Source organism: Homo sapiens, chromosome 4 (assembly GCF_000001405.40).
Source record: "Homo sapiens chromosome 4, GRCh38.p14 Primary Assembly".
Taxonomy (NCBI): Eukaryota; Metazoa; Chordata; class Mammalia; order Primates; family Hominidae; genus Homo; species Homo sapiens.
Window position 1 is genome coordinate 157,332,219 of NC_000004.12, and position 20,709 is coordinate 157,352,927.

The 20,709-nt window shown below is 33.8% G+C and overlaps 1 protein-coding gene across 7 annotated transcripts in view; it reads left to right on the forward strand.

Annotated features, from left to right (window-relative positions):
* GRIA2 (glutamate ionotropic receptor AMPA type subunit 2) overlaps positions 1-20,709 on the forward strand; it is a 145,956-nt gene that overhangs the window by 112,099 nt on the left and 13,148 nt on the right. For all 7 annotated transcript variants that reach the window (XR_007096394.1, NM_001379000.3, XM_047450131.1 and 4 more), the window contains exons 7-12: positions 601-768; positions 1,031-1,135; positions 1,792-1,902; positions 3,453-3,659; positions 4,159-4,529; positions 9,046-9,244. Coding sequence is in view for 6 of the 7 variants with exons in the window: in NM_001379000.3 (NP_001365929.3) it covers positions 601-768; positions 1,031-1,135; positions 1,792-1,902; positions 3,453-3,659; positions 4,159-4,529; positions 9,046-9,244 (1,161 nt within the window). In the remaining variant the exon portion in view is untranslated. The remainder of the gene's footprint in view (positions 1-600; positions 769-1,030; positions 1,136-1,791; positions 1,903-3,452; positions 3,660-4,158; positions 4,530-9,045; positions 9,245-20,709) is intronic.

A 20,709-nucleotide genomic window follows, 5' to 3' on the forward strand; every position in this document is an offset into this window, starting at 1 on the left:
ATGTTATCATATACTATTGAAGCATGGAGGCATGGGGGCATAGAAATTATGAAGTTTTGTGGTTCTTCTACTTGATTACCAGAATCGCCTAGGGGAGCCTAAGTAGACACCCCTAAAACCACTGCAGATCAGTGTGAACATGACCAGGGTTGAATTAGAGACTAAGAATCCTGAAAGTAATCCATATTCCTTCTGCATTGACAAATGAATTTCTCATTGGACTGTAAAGAAATATTAATTGTTAGTCTTATAGTTTTGTATATCACCATAGCAGGCTATAAAGTGAGGCTGTAACAAGAAGCAGGTTAGAAAAAAAAAAAGAAAAATAAACACTGACACAATTATTATGAAAAGGTCTAACCTGAAACAGCTGAGATATTAACATAATAGAAAATGTTTAGAGTCAGGAGCACATTTCATAGTCCCCATGTTTTGTAATGCTTCTCTTCGATTCTTAGGTTTCTAGATGCAGAAATTGTGTTTAAATTCTTGGACTTTTAAATGGTATTGTGTGCTGAGCAACTGCAGTCTTGATTGCTGGGGTGCAGTGAGTTTCTGAATTTTCTCCCGTTCTTATGAAATGTGTGTGATCCTTTGCAGTATACTTCTGCTCTGACCTATGATGCCGTTCAAGTGATGACTGAAGCCTTCCGCAACCTAAGGAAGCAAAGAATTGAAATCTCCCGAAGGGGGAATGCAGGAGACTGTCTGGCAAACCCAGCAGTGCCCTGGGGACAAGGTGTAGAAATAGAAAGGGCCCTCAAACAGGTCAGTTACTCAAAATAATCGTTAACGTGACTTAATATGGCCATTAATGTTTTCTTCCTGCTAAATTAGTCATCCTTGTCTTATTCCTTGTGTCTAATATACAGGCAATGTTCTTTTCTAACAACACAAAGGTAGGTTGAAGAGAGAAACAAATATTATTGATGTAGTTTTCTTGACTTCATCTGGTTAAAGTAATCTGTACAGTGTATATGTTTGGTTGAAGTAAATATATAACTCTGCTGCTTTCCCATTTCTTCATTAGGTTCAGGTTGAAGGTCTCTCAGGAAATATAAAGTTTGACCAGAATGGAAAAAGAATAAACTATACAATTAACATCATGGAGCTCAAAACTAATGGGCCCCGGAAGGTAAATCCTTAGTGATTTAAAGGCAGTTCTATGTGAGGAGGTGAGTTAGCTAGCCTATGAGTTCACCCTTCCAGAGAATTCTGGAGATGTGTATTCACATAGAGTTTAACGACTTCCAGAAACAGATATATTTTGAAGTTTTTTTTTCCTAAAGTCTGTTTATTTCTGGTAAGTAACATTGAATTGTAATTTTAAAAATAATTATAGGTAGAGCTGTTGAACTTTAATTTTTTAGACTGAAGGGGAAGTCTTTAATGAAAAGAGAAAGAATTATTGTTGAAGGTTTACAGTTCAGAAGACAAAAAGTAGCTGGTGCAAATACACATGTAACTGTTCAATTCAACATCAACCTTTTAGCTGTTTAGGCTAAAATGTCATTATTTGGATTTTAATTACATTTCTATATGACCACTCCCAAACAATTACTCTTAGAAAATACAAAAAGTGAATATGAAGAGACAAGTCATTTTTAGGAATTTTTTTATACTTCCTTTTATTCCTGTTAGATTCACATATATAAAAGACATTTCTATTTAGAACAAGTCCAGTAAATGTGGTTCTAATTTCAGATTCAGACATGGCTTTGAAAATAATTAAATGCTTTGCTAATAGACAAGTCATTTATCCATACACCTGTCTGCTGTAACCTTTTCCAGATTGGCTACTGGAGTGAAGTGGACAAAATGGTTGTTACCCTTACTGAGCTCCCTTCTGGAAATGACACCTCTGGGCTTGAGAATAAGACTGTTGTTGTCACCACAATTTTGGTAATTTGCTACATATGCCATGTTTTACTTTGTATTTTCTTATGGCTAATATCTGCAGGAGTAGCTATTTATATTTTAGGAGAATAATATCTGTTTTGCTTCTTTTGCAATGTTTTAATCATTTATTTCATATTTACTCTGTTAAAAGGAATACACAAGATCTAGCTAAAGCATTGAAAATGTTCCCCATTTTCTTTAAGGAACGCTACAGTTTACACAGATAATTCCTACCCTGGTGCTTACATCGGTGAACAATTGGGGAATGTCTTGAAGAGTGTTCCTCATGTTTCTGCGAGTTATTCACCTTTCCATTCCCACCCGATACTGTGTAAATTCTTTCTTTCCCTTTGTTACATGATTTCATGATGATGTCAAGTTGTCTTTATTCTATCTAATGAAAGATGATCTCCTTAAAAATAAGGATTATTTCCCTTGTTTTTACTCCAAATTTCAGCACTGGTTGGCACATAGCTAGTACACAAAAAATGCATATTGAATGAATAAGGAAAAATTGAACTGGATCTTCAACACCCAGGCTTTGGATAGATGGAAGAGAGATGTGGATCAGCATGACAAGCTGTTGGTGAAATGAAATGGAGAAAATGGTGTTCGTTATAGGACAGAATTTTGTGACAAACTATTTTGTTGTATTTTCTTTTACAAAAAAAAATGGGCTTAGCAGTGAAGTTGTAAATTGGTGTGATTTATTCTCCTAACAATATTGAGAGCAGATATAGATAGATTGGTAAGGGATTTGAATTAAAACATTAGTAGGCAATTGAAAATCTCTTGATAAGTGCAAATTAGACATTTGAGGATTTTTGCCTTTATCATGCCATTGAGAGGAACTATCTCACTGAGACCCCAAATATCCTCAGTGCCACTTTCCAATGGAGAATATTGGACTGTGTTGATTCATTTTTTCTTGCTTCCTTTTTCTTATGTTTACAGGGGGAAGCTACTCTCTAGCTATCCTTGTAGCATCATTCTAGGATATTGTATCTCACAGATGAAGTGAGACCTGAAGCCTGCGGGGGTAGAATCAGTACATCATCATGACAATGATCCTGTCAGTTTGTGTATCACTGACCATGAACCTGATTTCCACATGAACCTTATCTTTGGGACAGCAGTGACACAGGGTTTTGGGTGAATGCTGGTTTTGGGATTGGCCTAACCTTAATCAAGGATAAGGGTGTGGTGAATCCAAACTTGAATAAAATAGGTTTTGAGCAGTAATATTTTGCTCTAAGTCCTAGCAGTGACAAACATGGCTAGAGAACATACAAAGAGTTTGTGGTTTTGAGTATCTTGTTAACTCAGTATGCTTGCATACAAGCCGTCTTAATGAATTATAGTGATAGACATTCCGAGGCTTTCTGGGGGGAAGCATTATGCTTAAATTATTCCTCTACTGTTGTGTGTTCACCATCTATATTCTTCATTCACTCTGGCTAATGGGTAATAATTAAACCAGAAGATTTGATTCAATGAGAGTACATAATTAACACAGATATTTTAATCAGCTAAAGCAAAGTCTTTTCATATAGGAATCTCCGTATGTTATGATGAAGAAAAATCATGAAATGCTTGAAGGCAATGAGCGCTATGAGGGCTACTGTGTTGACCTGGCTGCAGAAATCGCCAAACATTGTGGGTTCAAGTACAAGTTGACAATTGTTGGTGATGGCAAGTATGGGGCCAGGGATGCAGACACGAAAATTTGGAATGGGATGGTTGGAGAACTTGTATATGGGGTAAGTATAGCTCTTCTCATAGATAAAGTCATTCAATTTGAATTGTTGTTGACAGACTGCTTCCTCTCCCTGTGAAGTATCTATATCTGAGGTTGTTGATTTCCCACATTACTCTAGAAACATTATCTTGTTGATTTGTGAACATCTGAAAGATTAAGATTGAAGCCAGAAGTAGACATGTAGATTAACTGAGACAAGCATTTCATCTCTCTTGAAGCATATGGGCCATATGTATTGTCAAAAGGCTGCAAATGCATGGATGCAGTGCAGATGTGTAATGATCATAGTCAAGCCAGCTGGGTATACTGTGTATTCATAAAGAGGAGGGGCATTCGGGGAATAATTCCTTTTTGTTTATCCTTTACTGGGACTATACCAAGGAAAAAATTATTGTCATTTTTCTGATTTCCTCTCCTTTTTCTTTGATCCAGTGACATAACCACGATTCCTTTTTCACCATGACTCCAGGTACTATTACTTTCCTTTTTTTCCCTTACAGAAAGCTGATATTGCAATTGCTCCATTAACTATTACCCTTGTGAGAGAAGAGGTGATTGACTTCTCAAAGCCCTTCATGAGCCTCGGGATATCTATCATGATCAAGAAGCCTCAGAAGTCCAAACCAGGAGTGTTTTCCTTTCTTGATCCTTTAGCCTATGAGATCTGGATGTGCATTGTTTTTGCCTACATTGGGGTCAGTGTAGTTTTATTCCTGGTCAGCAGATTTAGCCCCTACGAGTGGCACACTGAGGAGTTTGAAGATGGAAGAGAAACACAAAGTAGTGAATCAACTAATGAATTTGGGATTTTTAATAGTCTCTGGTTTTCCTTGGGTGCCTTTATGCAGCAAGGATGCGATATTTCGCCAAGGTTGGTTACTCACCTGCTTCAACTTTGTGCATTTCAGGTCTCAAGTGGACATTCATGGTGTTTATGGATTCACCCTAAAGAAGTTACCAGCTGCCGACTTCCTGTCCAAGCAGTTTAAGACTCTTGAAGGACATCCTCTTAGCTTCGGCATAAGTCTGTGAAATATTTGAACAATGTTCTTTGAATGTTGCTCATCTATTTCTCTGGTGAAATTATACACACCATGAAGAGGCTATAAAATGCATAAGGTTCCTATCATTCCATGCCTTCTTGGAGGGGTACCGTGTTTTTGCTGCATATTCTCATTTTACAGTCATCTGTGTGTTGATCCACAGACCTGTATATGGGAAAATGGGCAACATTATTTATTAACTGCAAAGTAACACCTTGTTAGATAAAACTTCGTTGGCACACATCTCATCTCTTTTATTTTCCCATCATTAGTTCATGGAAATGGTATGGGAGAGATATTATAAAATTTATTTTTTTTCTAGGTGAGGTTGCTGGATTAATATAATAGCATATTTTCAACTACCCACAAATGCCTGGAAGGGACTAATCATTCATTAAAAAACCTGTCCATATCGAATGGTAATACACACACACATGGAATAAACTCACCTACCTTTAATCTCATTATGATATGTTAAATCCCTGCACTAGAATACCTAATTATAATGAATCTACCACAAAGTACCCATTGATTTTATTCATGTTGCACGTATGAATAAGAATGATAGCCATGTTTGGCTCTTCAGAGGAATAAATCATGATTTTTCTAGTGTGATTAACATTTTAAGTCAAAATGATTATCACTCTACTGGCACATTTTAATTTGGGCTCTATTACCCTTCTTCGATTTTACAGGATATCTTAATAACTAGTGGAGCGGGTGCCTTTCATGATACAATTTTATTATATTGTAAATTTTTAAAATCACTTTTGAGAATAACAAGTGATTAATTTAAGAAAACTGTATGAGAAGCTCAAAGATTTGCATCTTTTGCAATCTTTTTAGTATATTTCACTGAGTAAGATAAAGGAAATACATCATGTAGCCAGAAATTATCAGTAGCTTACTTCTCTGATAGTAGGTAATTATAGTGGGAATGATAAAAAAAAATTACATTTTTATGAATTATACAGATTTTAAAAATTTCAGTTCCACCAGATTCCCTGTGACTTCCCTGTGGGACTTCAGTGAATTAGAAATATGCCAATGGAATTTGCACAGCATGACATATGTGTGTATATATATGTGTATATATATATATATATATATATATATATATATATATATATACACACACATTTTTTTTATCTCTGACAAAATATATAAGATTCATAGTTTTATCATCTCTGTATTTAGTTTATTTGATCTAAGTTAAAGATATACAGAGAAGTTTCTAATAATTTGGAGGCAAATACTAACCAAATTGGGGTCTCGGAGAACATTCTGACCCATAAAATGATAAAGAAGTGGTTCTCCCTTTGGTAAGAAGAACAATGAAGTATGTTACCCTAGTTCTGAAATGTAAGGCAATAATATCCTGTGCTATGTCTTTTGGATAGTAGGGAGAAGTGTATGTGGGTTCATTATGAAGTAGGATGTGTCAGCCCAGTCTGGCCTGGGTTCCAGTAGATGCCTGCGCCTGGGCATGATGGCACTGCAGGTAGTTGTTTAGGTATCCAGTGTTTGTCAGGGAGTGGGAAACCTATTTGCACACAGGGACTGGAGCACAAGGCATATCAGCAATCTGTATTATCCCAGAGTCCACCATGACATATAGATGACTTCTCCTTTTCATCAAGGCTGCATCTAAATTAAGATGTTTTTTCTGTGCTTTTGATTTCATTCATGAGTCATGACACTACAATTTCACATGTAGTAACTTTTATTTCCTGGTAGGATAAACAGATTTTTAGATAGCATATTTTTCCTTGTTATTGATTGGTATTTTTTCATTCAGAATGTATTTGATACAAATTTATTTTATTAAAACATTTGAGGTACATATCTTTCACTTATGCTATATATGAATTTTAAAATTCAACATAATACATTGGAAAAGTTAATGATTTTTAATGAACAAAACTATCATTTTTTAAGAATGCAATGATGGTTACCCTAGTTGAGAAGAATACAGTAGCTTATTATCATTTTTAAAAAGCATGACATCCACAGATCACTTTAGAAATGTCTTTAAATATTAAAAAAATTATGATTCTTTTCCAAGTAAAATATGATATGAAACTATATTATTAATGTTAATAGGACACATTTAAGTTGTAATCTAGAGTTATTTATTAAATTAAGTGATTTCTCATTTTTCTGAAATTAAGTTTAGAATATCTTATCTATAAGACATGGTCTCATGAAGAATAGAATCACAGAAATTATGAGAGCAATATGCTGTAAAGGTTATTTTTATTGTCCTGTTTGCTTCTGGATTGTCCCCAATGACCCTAAAGGAATCAAATGAATATAAAAACATATATCATTTAAAAAATGATTTAGTAGGGATTAAAAAGAAATAAGAGCATATGCACATTTCTTTATTCCTTTAGTGCTGATGCTGATGGGCGAAAGTTTTACTTTTAATTGTAGAAGTAATTTTTGTCTGTCACCATAAAATAATATTGAATTTCCTTCTCTGCATAATTTCTCAGGAACTCTTTGAGAAACATGAATTGATACTTTAAAAATACTTAAAAGTAAATAATAAATAGTTGAAGTACTTTTCACCTTTGAATTATTTATAAGTCCAATAAAAATTTTTAGATATCATGTACATTTTAAATCAGTTGACATATTAAATCTGATATAAGGACTGGAATAGAGGACAACTTACATCTAACTTTCCTTAATTTTTACAACTGGAATAGAATGACACAAAAATGATTCTTAAACGTGTCATAAATTAATACGCAATATGTAGAGTCAAAAGCAATTACCATGTAATCAGCTTTTGTTTTAAGGGATTTGAGCAGGCAGGTACTGAATCTGCGCTCTTAAATATATGATATGTGTCATATAACTATACTTCCCATTGATATTGGATAAATAGTGAACATTTTGAGAGTGATTTTGTCTACATAAGGCATTTTTCAAATGTAAAATATATTTAATATCCTTTTCAGAATATATGTGAGAAGTGTTTAACTTTTTCCATCCTTTCATATTTATTTTTTTGTATTTCATACAGACTTTGTGATAAAGTCCCTTAATTATATTCTTTTTGTTATTTCTTGCTATTTTTCTCTCTCTATCTCCTTTATTTTAGCAACTGATGTTTTTATATCAAAAAACTTTTCATTTAAGTTAGCTTCTCTCCTTTCTTAACTGCTTGAGTGGTTTATTCTACAAATATTTCCCAAGTGTTTGATCTAGAATATGTTTCATCAAAAGATTTATTTCTTACTGTTAATTGTCAGAAACTTTAGATCACAAATTGCCAATCATGATCTAAATTTTTAGAACTATCACTTGTTCACACTAGCAAGTCTAATTGTTAGACATAGTAGAGTTATTGACAACAGAGAAACGGTTAGTTTTATTGGTTTGTCAATATCACTTAAATACTTAGTTACGTGCAGAATCCCATCAAATCTTTCAAAATAATACAGTATATATCTTTTTCTATATCTCTATACCTGTATTCCTCTACTTCAGGTTTTAAAGTAAATTATTGGGTATCTATTAAGCTTTTAAAAACTATTTTATGTAAGAATTTGTAGTCAGAAAAATATTGTTATTTTATTATACATCAAACTAGAAATTTATGTCTTCACAAACTTTTAAATGTCTAATTTGTTTTCTTTGAGTTTTATTTTTTTTTGAGCAGGACACATAAAGGAACAGGGTCATAGCCATCCATACTCTGAAGCCATCTGATTTTTATTCATTAATAGTTATATTTTGTGCGGTATCTTTGCTTGTAGCATTATTTTTTCCTCATTTTTCTCTCCTGTACTGTATCTAATACCTATGTTTTACATACACAAAATTAACAAAATTTGAGGCCTTTTTTGTTTTGGAAATTCACTGATTGAATTAAAGGGAGGATTTCTTTGGTGTTTAAAGTTACATCTGTGGAGTATGCTTTTTTTAATTTTTGATTTTGTTCATAAATGTTGTTATGAGGTTTGCTGGTGATATTACATTCTCTTGTTTATGTTTACTTACATCATGAGTGGATAAACTTTTATGAGTATTTGTAAATTTCTTGAAATTGCTTTCTTATGGGATTCATGTCATAAACTATTTGGGCATTACAATTATGAAAGTATTCCAGAAATCAGAAGTTTTGACCTGTGTGTATGTTATTAAATTTAGCTACTCTGTACTCCTTGCCCAAAATGTTTAATGATTTCCAGTTTCATTAACTAGTAGATACATTGAAAAATATAAAATTAAATATTCCCCTATAAGTCAATATTTGCATAATACTGCTAACTTGTTTTTTTATTAGGTCATTCATTTCACTTTACAAATCCATTTCATACTTGTTATTAGATCCCTCTCTGGGCGCATTGTTGGAGGTGTGTGGTGGTTCTTTACCCTGATCATAATCTCCTCCTACACGGCTAACTTAGCTGCCTTCCTGACTGTAGAGAGGATGGTGTCTCCCATCGAAAGTGCTGAGGATCTTTCTAAGCAAACAGAAATTGCTTATGGAACATTAGACTCTGGCTCCACTAAAGAGTTTTTCAGGGTAAGAGATTCTGCTTTGTAGTTTCTGATTTTGTTCCTGAAATTTAACCTATTTAAACTTTGTTTCCCTCCCATAGTCAATTCCAAGGTACTATGTGAAAGCACCCCTAATTCTATTTCTTTTCTTGACTTTGTCTCTGTTTCTGACCCTTCCCTATCCTGATACTTCGGTCCAGCTCTAGTTTCTGATTCCTGACTCCTTAGGAGAAAAATCACAATGTTGCAATGAAATCTGTTTTACAAAAATTGATTGTCCTTTTGGAACAAAATTGAAGCAAAGTATAGTAGTTAAGTTTAGATTATTATGCTTTCAGCAAAACATCTTATTTTTATTTGATTTTAAATAAATATGACTGCATGTATCTTACCTAGTTTATAATTGAAAAACTCACATTCAAACCAATTATGTTAATTATGTGTGAGGAAACAGACTATGTTCATATGTGTCGATTCTGAATTTTCTGTGCAAAGCTTCCAAGGAAAAGCCAACAAAGGCTCTCCACTTCCTAACTTTTAAAATATGTAGTATATTTATACTGTGTCTATTAGATGTAGGTTACTTTTTTCTTTTAACTTTTGTTCTTATGCTCTGTTTATAGGATAAGCCCAAGGACCTGATGTTGGCATAATTTTCTTTCTTTCTACTATTGTGTGTATAAAACAACTCTTTCTATGAAAATGTTTAAATACAGCTGATTAACTTAGGTCTGAAGCCAATATATGTGACATATAATGGTCTCTGATAATCTACAAATATATTCGAATATATCTGAGTTTCAGTGAAATCTAGTCCAGCTTATTCCGGAATTAGGATTAGGACCTTCAAATGGCCATCAAAATTTGAAGACTATCTCATGCTACATTACCTCTGATCTCTTTTCTGAATAACTTCACTTCAGCTGAAGATACTATGGGAGAAAGGGTTCTGGGAGTGGGGGTGGTAGAACCATGGCTAATAACAGATAGTAACTTGGGTGTATGTGAAGAGTCCAGGACCTTGATGAATTAATTAGGTACCTCAATATAAGTGCAAAAATGTGGACCATCAGCAGCTTTTTTTACTTTAATGCAGATTTTAGAATGAATCTTGTAATGTAGATTTCTTACTAATGAAAATGTATTATCATTTCTAAACATATATGCAATATGTGTATGAATACTCGGTTTAAAAATGTATGTTCCTCAATTAGAAGTGCATTTGAAAGCATTTTTAATATTTGTATGCAGTGTAGCTTGCTTTTATCTTATTTGGAAAAATGAGGTGCTCCCTCTTGAAGTAAATGAGATCTATGAGAATGATGCAGATGCCTGTTATAACAGGATTTACTTGGTGCTACTTATGTTGATTAAAATAATCTTAATTATTTTCAGACTCTCTCTTCCAGTTGAGCATGCATCTATGGAGAGTTTCAGTTATTACCTTGTTTGGACAGTAGTAGTGTCAGCTACTTTTCACTACTACACATTCACATTCACAAAGCTTTTCAGTATATCTTCACTGAGTCAATCATAGAAACACGTGTCTTAATCACCAAGGTGCCAGAATTATATGGCCAGTGTATTCACATTCCCTAGTAGACAAGACAAGAAAGCTAGTTGAGTTTGGGAAAAGAATGTTGCTACTCTTTTGTTTCAGTGCACTAACTTCATGGAGCCCATTTGTTCCAATATGCAATCGTGGAGGTTGTATAAGGTTGTGGAGCTTTTCTTCCCTAGAGTAATAGAGAAGTGATGTTGGATAGTTAGGCAAATTGATGACTTCTATCTATCAGTATAGCTCCCCAAAGAAGTTTCTTATCCATTACCTCTTTTAATCTAACAATATTTCTGTCTGATAGTCAGGGCAATGATTTTTGTTTGATATCTGTGCATTATTAAACAGAAGCTCAGATATTTTGGGGTATTTGATCACATTCATGCAACTAATAAGTATGCTGAGGTCTTTTCCTCCTAGCCAGGGTTCTTTCCATACACTATTTTTCCTCGTGCAGCAAAATCTCTGGATTTACTTCACTGCCTTCATGCTCTGTTCTTGGTTACATCCACACTTGTTTGTGTAATGCTAGAGACACGGTTGAAACCCAAGCAAGTCCTCACAGTTCCTCTCAAACTATCTCCAAAAGGAACTGTTGATGAAATGACATTGGCTAGGTCTCAGTGCATATAATGTTGTAGTGAGCGTCTCCTTATCTAGAGAAAGAAGAGTGTGGGCTCAAACTTGTTTAAAATCACATTATTCTGTTTGTAACAAAAAAGAGAAGCCAATAAAACAGCATGCATCACCAAAGAGAATAGGAACTGTATATGTTAATTATTTCATTGAAATATATGACACGGTTGCAATTTGGGAAATTATGTATATAAAAGTTTTGTTTCTTCAAGTTGAATTAAATAAAAATGTTGCTAGTTCATGAGTAATTTTGAGCAATTTTTCTAACTGTATTACAATAATATTTGATAATTAGATGCCATGATGATAATAGTAAGGAAAATATTATTTTTGCTTCTGGTTCTCAAAATGTTTTCTAGGATACTATGGCTTTCCAACTGTATCCATCCAGTATCATACCTTTCACACAGAGTTACTGAATTAGTATAGGGAAATTGAATAACAGATTCCCTTTGAGTCAATAACTTTTTTCATAGAATGTTGTATAAAATATTGAACAAAATGAAGCCAATTTAGAGACATTTTAAAGACAAAAATATTTGATTTTCATTAATATTGTTTCCTTAAATCATAGGGTCAACTGTAATATGTCTATTGGCTGTAGTGTGGTTGAATTACTGACTTTCTGTGGAAAAATGTGGCAAGGGAAATTCTTGTTTCTATTCCTAAAATTAACATTCACCACAGGTCTTGGGTTCATCCTCTCTCAACTTTCCTTTGGTCCTAAGGAATTTTGGGGCTTCTGTGTAAGGTAGATACAGAACAGAGTGAAAGCTGACAGACTGATTATTATGGTGCCCAGCCTGACCAGGAAAGGGTTATGGGTGAAGTGGGCTAAAGCCAGGCTGAAAACATGTATTGCTTACTTTGTTCTCTGCCCATTCATTATGCTTACTTTTGGAGCCAAGACCTAGTAAAATAGCAGATTACACATGCAATAATACACTTTTACCACTTGCTAATCTTTAAAGTTCTAACATTTATCTTCATGTTTTGTAATGTGGCTTAATTTGCCTTTAGTGATAGCTTTTTCCTTTTTATACTCTTTTATAACTAGGAATTTTATTAGTTATATTATTGTTAAATTTTCTGCTATCACTGAGTTTATCAAGTCAACGGTTGGTTTTCGTCATAGCCAGAGATTTGGATTTAGCATCGCAGACATGGATTTGAGAAGTTAGGTCATTGTCTACATTTCAAATAATAACTAACTGAAAGATAAAAAATATGTTGAGACCATTTAGAAATTAATGGCCAATTCTAAAATAGAATTCAGAATTTGGAACTCCTAGTCTTTTGTCTCAATGTTAATTGTTTCATAAAAGTATATTCTTGTTGAGATAAAAGCACTTCATATAAATTTATAAGATGACTATTTTATTTAATAGTTAGGGATCTGTTTTGTACTGACATGATGTTTTTCTTTCCGTTAAAGTCTAAGATATTTTCAGATTTCAGGTAAATAATAGCAAACCATATTATATTAATATTACTTTAGTAAAGTCAGTGAGTATGTAATTGTTGGAGAAGTTCAATTTAAGCTGCAGATTTTCTAATTTAAAATCTATACTTTTCTTCAGTGATGATCATTAAACGAAACATTCATGAAATATTTACTTTGTTTTGCTTGAAAGAGAGAGTAAATGGAGAACAATCTTGTAACCACCAAGAGATGTGAGGAAAATTAGTCTATGTCTTCATTTTCTGCAGTTTTCTGTTTATGGAACCCATGCACATCCTTGTACAGAGTGAATGATAAAGTCTGAATCATTTTGGAGTTACTGATCATCCCTAATTATAGTGCCACTGTAGCATACCTATAATTAAGAGAGAATTAGCCTCTCAATTATAAGCCACTATTTTTAGAGCTTCACATTTTAATAATTTCTTATCTCAATAAAATAGGACAGATCTTGAATTAGATGACTTTGTGTAGAAAATGATTTTATAGGACCCATATGCAGTATGTTACTACAGAAACTTTGATTTTTAAGGACAGGAATGGTTTTCTTATCTAAACCTATCATTGGCCTGTCAAACCACAAAGCACAATTATTAACTTGCAGATAGGAAGTAACTCTTCATGCCTGTGCTGTCTCCCACACTGCAATCTGTTCCTTCTGGTTGTCTCCTCTGGGAGGATGAAGGACACAGATTATTCTCTAAATATATGGTCTACTTTGTTGATAATTTTGGAAGAAAAAAATTCTAAACATTGCATTGCCAAAATAAAGGTATTTGCCTTCTTGTTTAATGCAGTTTGTTCCATCTGCAAAAGATAAATTTAGTCTGATAATAAACCATGAGACTCTACTATTATTGCTCAGCATTGTAGACTTTTTATAGTTTAGAAATAGTATAAATAATGGATAACTAGTATTAATGCTGCTGTTACTTACCAGTGAAATAATTAGTTTGAAATTTTCCATATGCATACATTGTCTACTATATAATCAATATTACAAGAGAATTAAAATAATTGAGAGTATTTTTTTAAAGATGTTAACCTTTTTTCAACTCTCTCTACGGCATACAATACACTTATTTATATTTACATATGAAAACGTTCCTGAAAAGTAATTGCAAATAAAAATGGCCTAGCCATTATGACACCTCTTCTATGGAACTGTATTAATTGCTATTTCATTAAAGTCACATTTAAGTCAGTTATTGTTTGTGTTTGGTAATAATACAGCATGATTTCTTTATTGCCATGTTATAAATAATGGATTTCACAAATTTGTCATTCCCCGTACTTATTTTATTATTCCTGATATTGCTAATGATTTATCTGCCACAATTGCCTCTATTGCCTATTCCTAGGAAGGCAGAAATATGTATGTCTATGATACATATGTATATATCTATTTATCAATATATAATTATCTTTCAAATCTTTTGGAAATAAAATGAGTGTAGCCATTTGTGTCTCTATATATGCAGAACGTTACTCATATCGAAATAGACCCTTCATAGATCTGTCACCAATGCTTAAATATTTAAATAGTTTCAAAAATAGTAGGTATTAAATAAATGCTGAATGTGAATAAATAAGGAAAAAATAGCATCGTATACATATGTTGCAAGTCACTCATGCATGGTTAGTCATTTATTACAAATTTTCCTTCCTCAGTTTTTTGGGGGCTTGATTATAGCAGAACAATCTGCACAGCTGACAATTCTTGCATGCCCAATCCTTCTCTAGATGATCCAGGAGATGTTAAAATCATTTCCTCTCTGGTTGGCAGTTTTTCTTTCTCTGACATTTTAATTTTTTCTCACCATTCCACAGAACATCTGAGAAAGCACTGAATTGAAAAAGCATCCTAAATGTATTTACGAATACATTTAGCCTAAGTTGCCTTCAGTAGAACCCATGATCTCTGATTTCAGCTAACGTTAGCTGGGTTAACAATACAGGAAGGGTCAAAATGTTTCCTTTAAAACGTATTGCCCAGTTTAAGGACCGTGCAGCTCATTCAGTAGTTCTTAAATTTCATAGGAAGAGAAAAATAAGGAGATGTAGAAGAAGCCATAATGAATCATGTGTTTTTGGTGATCCAATGCTAAGGAAGGTGTATGTCCCCTTGTTGAATTGTAATTATTGTGCAAAGTGGCAGCTTTTTCCAGGGTACATGTGTTATTTTGGTCATTCTCTTTCCATAAGTATTCTTTGCCAATGTCAATGTGCTCTGTAACCATGCAATTGTGTCTTTTAAAGACCACTCTTGCCATACACTCGCTAAATAATTTGACTAATAAGATTACAGGAAGCTTTCTATTATTGTCCATACCAAAGAGAAAGCATTCCTTTTCATACCAATAGCAGATCATGAGAACGATTAATCTAGAAGGAAAGGTTAAAACAATACAGAAGTGATTTGGGATTAGTCTCTCATTTCAAAACCTTTCTAAAATTCCTGTTTAAATGCTTCAGAGAGAATATTAATTTCAGAATAAATTGTACAGGTGCTTTAAATGCCTTAGTTTTCAATTCACTTTATTATTGTATTTAAGTAAAAGAATGATCTCTGCCTACCTCTGTTGGATCTTTCACACTGGTTGCCATGGTAATAAACATGGTCCCAGAGCTCTATAGAGAAGAGAATAGAATTGTTCAATTATTTAAATATATTGGGACCAAATCTCAACTAGATATAAGTATTATCGACAAAATTTTGAACATTCTTCAATTAGACTTTTGATATTTGAAGGAAAATTTGATGGCTCATGCCTGTAATCCCAACACTTTGGGAGGCCAAGGCAGGCAGATCTCGAGGTCAAGAGATTGAGACCATCCTGGCCAACATGGTGAAAGCCCATCACTACTAAAAATACAAAAATTAGCTGAGCGTGACGGCACGTGCCCAGCTACTCGGGAGGCTGAGGCAGGACAATAGCTTGAACCTGGGAGGTGGAGGTTGCAGTGAGCCGGGATCACGCCACTGCACTCCAGCCGGGCAACAGAGTGAGGCTCTGTCTCAAAAAAAAAAAGAAAATTTGATATTAAAGTAATTTATATTTTGCATTTCTAGCAGACAATTTTGCTCTGACTCCTACTAAGTGATTAGCCAAAGCAAAGAAATTGGTAAAGGTGGCTGCTATTTTCATAGGGAAATGATCTTTTGTTTGTTTCTTCAAACAGGGCCTCACCCTGTCACCCAGGCTGCAGTGCAGTGGCATGGTAATGGCTCGCTGCAACCTCAACCTCCTGGCTTGAACTGATCCTCCTGAGTAGCTGGGACCACAAGTGTTCACCACCATGCTCAGCTAGTTTCTAAATTTTTTGTAGAAACGAGATCTCCCTATGTTGCCCAGGCTGGTCTCGAGCTCCTGGGCTCAAGTGATCCTCCCACCCCGGCCTCCCAGAATGCAGGTATTACAGGCATGAGCCACCTCACCCAGCCCAAAAATGAAATTTTAAAAATAAAATGGACATTGGACAAATCAAGCAATGACAAATATTATCAAAGTTCCAAAATATGCTATTTCATCGTGTCTTTAAAGGAACAAAGATCTTATCATAGTAGAGGATGTTTTATAGATTTTAAAATTTATAGTATCTCTCTCAGATTTTTTAGTCTATGTTGCTTCTTTAACAATATTGAGTAGAATTAAAAGTCTCATATTAGCATTAAAATAAAACAAACAAAATTAGAGGCTTATATGAATATTTGCTTATATGAATTATATGCTTTTCAAAATGAAATAGCAACCATTAAAATGACTGCAGACATTTTACTGTGGCTAGCATCTGATGATACAAATATGAAATATATAAGATTACCTTTTCTTAACTGTGTATAAAAATTATGAAGTCATTGTCCTATATAATTTTGCTCCAAATACTTTTCTGACTAGTCTTTCATTCCTGACATAGCAAAAAGAATGCAGACTTAAGCTAAATCCTTTTATAAGGCAGACAGTGACTATTGATGGAACAACTTTGATCTTTTTATCAGAAAGATGGAGATCAGAGTCTTCAAACATTTATTTCAGGATACAGATACACTTTCCATCTATGGCTTAGTAATATGATATTTGAGGGTAAGAAATGTAGAAAGTATCGTGGTCCTTGACTTACCAAAGGGATTTATACTGATACTACAAGGGGCCCATTCTGTCTTATGTATATTAGTGGGATTTTCCTGGGTACTCTTTGAATTTGCAGCCATTTTTCCTTTTATGTTACTTCCTGCGTTCCAGGGTTTTTGTACATTTCCTTATTTTGAAATCAAATTCAGTGCTGTTTTTTTTTCATAGTCAAATTTTCTTAAGATTGTTAAAATCTTCCTTCTTTCCTTCCTTCCTCCCTCCTTCCCCCGCTTCCTCCCCCCACCCTTCCTTCCTTCCTTCCTTCCTTCTTTCGTTCTTTTTTGTAACCTCAAAATATTGAAACACCACTCTTTAGCTTGGCAGTGGGACATATAGAGATATTTCCTAAAGCAATGGTAGCTGGTTTATAGAGCACAGCACCAATGGTCTAGTAGTGTTCCTAGTTTCCAAAAAACCAACTGTGCTGGCCTTAAAATTTGTTTATTTATAATGAAAAAGAATATCATAGACTTTTAAATTAGGATAGTTTGCTAACACAACCAATTTTTCTCATAATTATTTTCACTTTTTAATTGCATAAACACACACACATATACACAAACATTGAAAATGCCCTATTTCTGAATGCATGTTGTTGAGGTTGGATCAAGATGCTGAATTAAAGTATTTTAAAAGCCAACTCTCACATTGCAGATAAGTTCCTTCTCTGTGGTAATCTCTAATGTCCGTATCATCTGCAAACACAGAAGTTAGATTACAAATTAGTTTCCAAATTCTGTTCATTTTAGAGATATCATAACATTTATTGAGTTAATCATCCAAACAATTCTTGAATGTACCTTATGAATTCGTTAAGAGTCACTATTTTTATTGACAATCTATTCTGTTTTGTTTTCATTGTTATGGTCTTTAGAAAGTTCTTATAAGATCAAAACTTGTATCCTAAGTATTTTCATTTATTTGTCTTAATTCTGACTTAAGTAATTGCTTTCTTTTGCATACTATAGATACATCAAATATATGGAGAGAACTATCATCTCTTTCATAACTTTTCTCATCACTAGCCTAAAAGTTCTGAATTCCCTCAACTATTAATTATTATATTTTCAAACCCTTGTTATGGTTTTCATATATTTTAATTGCAAGTTTGTCCATGTTAGTCTTACAGTGCGGTATCTAGATCTGGGGTCTGATTTGATCTACTTATAGAAGATCTTTTTAATTTTTTTAATAGATTTTGGGGGAACAGGTGGTGTTTGGTTACATGAATCAGTTCTTTAGTGGTGATTTCTGAGGATCTTGACCTGAATCCAAAAATTAAGATTTCAGACCACAATTTCAATCTGAACATTCATGTTCTTCAGGCGGCCCAGTGTTTACATGGAGAAAAAAAAAAAGGCTCTAATGAAATCATGTATTCTTCAGTTACTACAATCACACCATTGTCTATTACTCTATTGCTATTTATTTTGCTTACTTATATATCCTCCCTGGCCTTTAAAGTATTTGAAATTAGAATTCTGTTATCTAGACTCTATAATTTCATTTAAAATCTTTAAGTTTATTAGCTTTTTGGTAACTGCATGGAATTAATTGCTTGCCTTAATTTGAAGTTTACTGAAAACCTGGTTGATTTTAATGAATTGTGGTAAGCCTCATGTATTCCATTCTATGAATATGAACTGATTGAAGCTACATGCCAGATTTTGCATTCACTCCTGTTTAATTTTACATTAGTTTTTTCTTTTTTTTTTTTTTTTTGCTCATTGTCCTAATCTCATAACATTGAAATACTGGTTCTATCATATACAGTAGTAATATCTGCAAATTTGAAATATTTGTCATGTATATCTTCATCCAAATTGTTGACTGAAATACTAGACATAATGGAAATGAGTATATAATCAGTGGTATAACAACAGCTTCTGTTGAAATCAGCATTTGTATATGAAGAAATAATAATCAATGTTCTTTAAATATGATTGATATTTTCATCACAAACTCACCTAATTTTGATAAAGCTAATTTTCTACCTAAAGCACAAAAATATGATATACTTTTCAAGTGTTTTGATCGTAATCAAGATGTTCATGATAGATCTTGAATGTGCCAATTGAATAACACTATTAAAAATAACACTATTAAAAAATGAAAGACAGGGTCATAGGGGTATCACTTGCTCTTCCTCTACATTATCAGTTCACATTGTATGCATATATGTGCACGTATAGTTAATACATAAGGTATAATGAGTAGGCATTCCATTAATGATATAATTTACCATTCGTAAGGTAATGAGAACATATGGAAATAACATTTGCATTGACAACTTTAAAGTCATTGTTTTTTAAGCATAAAAATTACCAAAAAGATATGATTCTATGACTAGTACAAGCATTAACATGTGATATGGCTAGCCTTTGGGTCACTACCCAAATCTCACCTTGAATTGCAATCCCTATAATCCCCATAATCCCCATGTGTCAAGGAAGAGACCAAGTGGAGGAAACTGATTCATGGAGGCAGTTTTCCCCATGCTGTTCTTGTGATAGTGACTGAGTTCTCATGAGATCTGATGGTTTTATAAGTGGCTCTTACCCTTTGCTCCATACTTCTTCCCGCCACCTTGTGAAGAAGGTGCCTTGCTTCCCTTTTGACTTTCACCACAATTTTAAGTTAAATGAGTCCTCTCCAGCCATGCTGAACTGTGAGAGAATTAAACTTCTTCCCTTTATAAATTACGCAGTCTTGTCCAGTTCTTTGTAACAGTATGAAAACGAACTTATATGACATGACTCTAGTTTTATCACATTTGAGAGTCATTTCAAAATGCCAAAGAGAGCTCTGAGACCTAGCTTTACTTCTGGTGGATTAAAATGCTGCGACAGCCTCTAATTTACTCAAGCCTCAGTTTACTTATAAATTATATGTAGATATTTACTGGATTGCTCTAAGTTTTATAATATTGTTAAGTGACTTTTTTATTTTTACCAAAACATTTTTAATCTAAACTCTATGTTGAGGATTTTTATGCTTTAGTGTATATACACATCTATTGAAAATTTGGATATCCAGGTGTTATTCCTGGTTCTTCTATGGGCTAATGAGCTATGCTAACTTAGGAAAGGTAATCTTTTTGAATCTTGATTCTATAATAAAGGGCTTAGATTGTAAAATTTTTAGATTTTTAAGATTCATTCTAGTACTAATCATTTGAAAACCATAAACTGTTAAAAATACTTATAGTTGACCAGGCACGGTGGCTCATGCCTGTAATCTCAGCACTTTGGGAGGCCAAGGCAGGTGGATCACGAGGTCAGGAGTTCAACAGCAGCCTGGCCAACATGATGAAACCCCATCTCTACTAAAAATACAAAAAATAAATAGCCGGGTGTGGTGATGGGCGCCTGTAATCCTAACTATTCCGGACACTGAGGCAGGAGAATCGCTTGAACCCAGGAGGTGGAGTTTGCAGTGAGCAGAGACCATGCCATTGCACTCCAGCCTAGGCGACAGAGTAAGACTCCATCTAAAAAAAAAAAAAAAAAAAACACACACAACAACAACAACAAAAACACTTATAGGCCCGGCATGGTGGTGCACACCCATAATCCCAGCACTTTAAAAGGCTGAGGCAGGTGGATCAACTGAGGTCAGGAATTTGAATTTGAGACCAGCCTGACCAGCATAGTGAAACCCTGTCTCTACTAAAAACACAAAAATTAGTTAGGCGTGTTGGC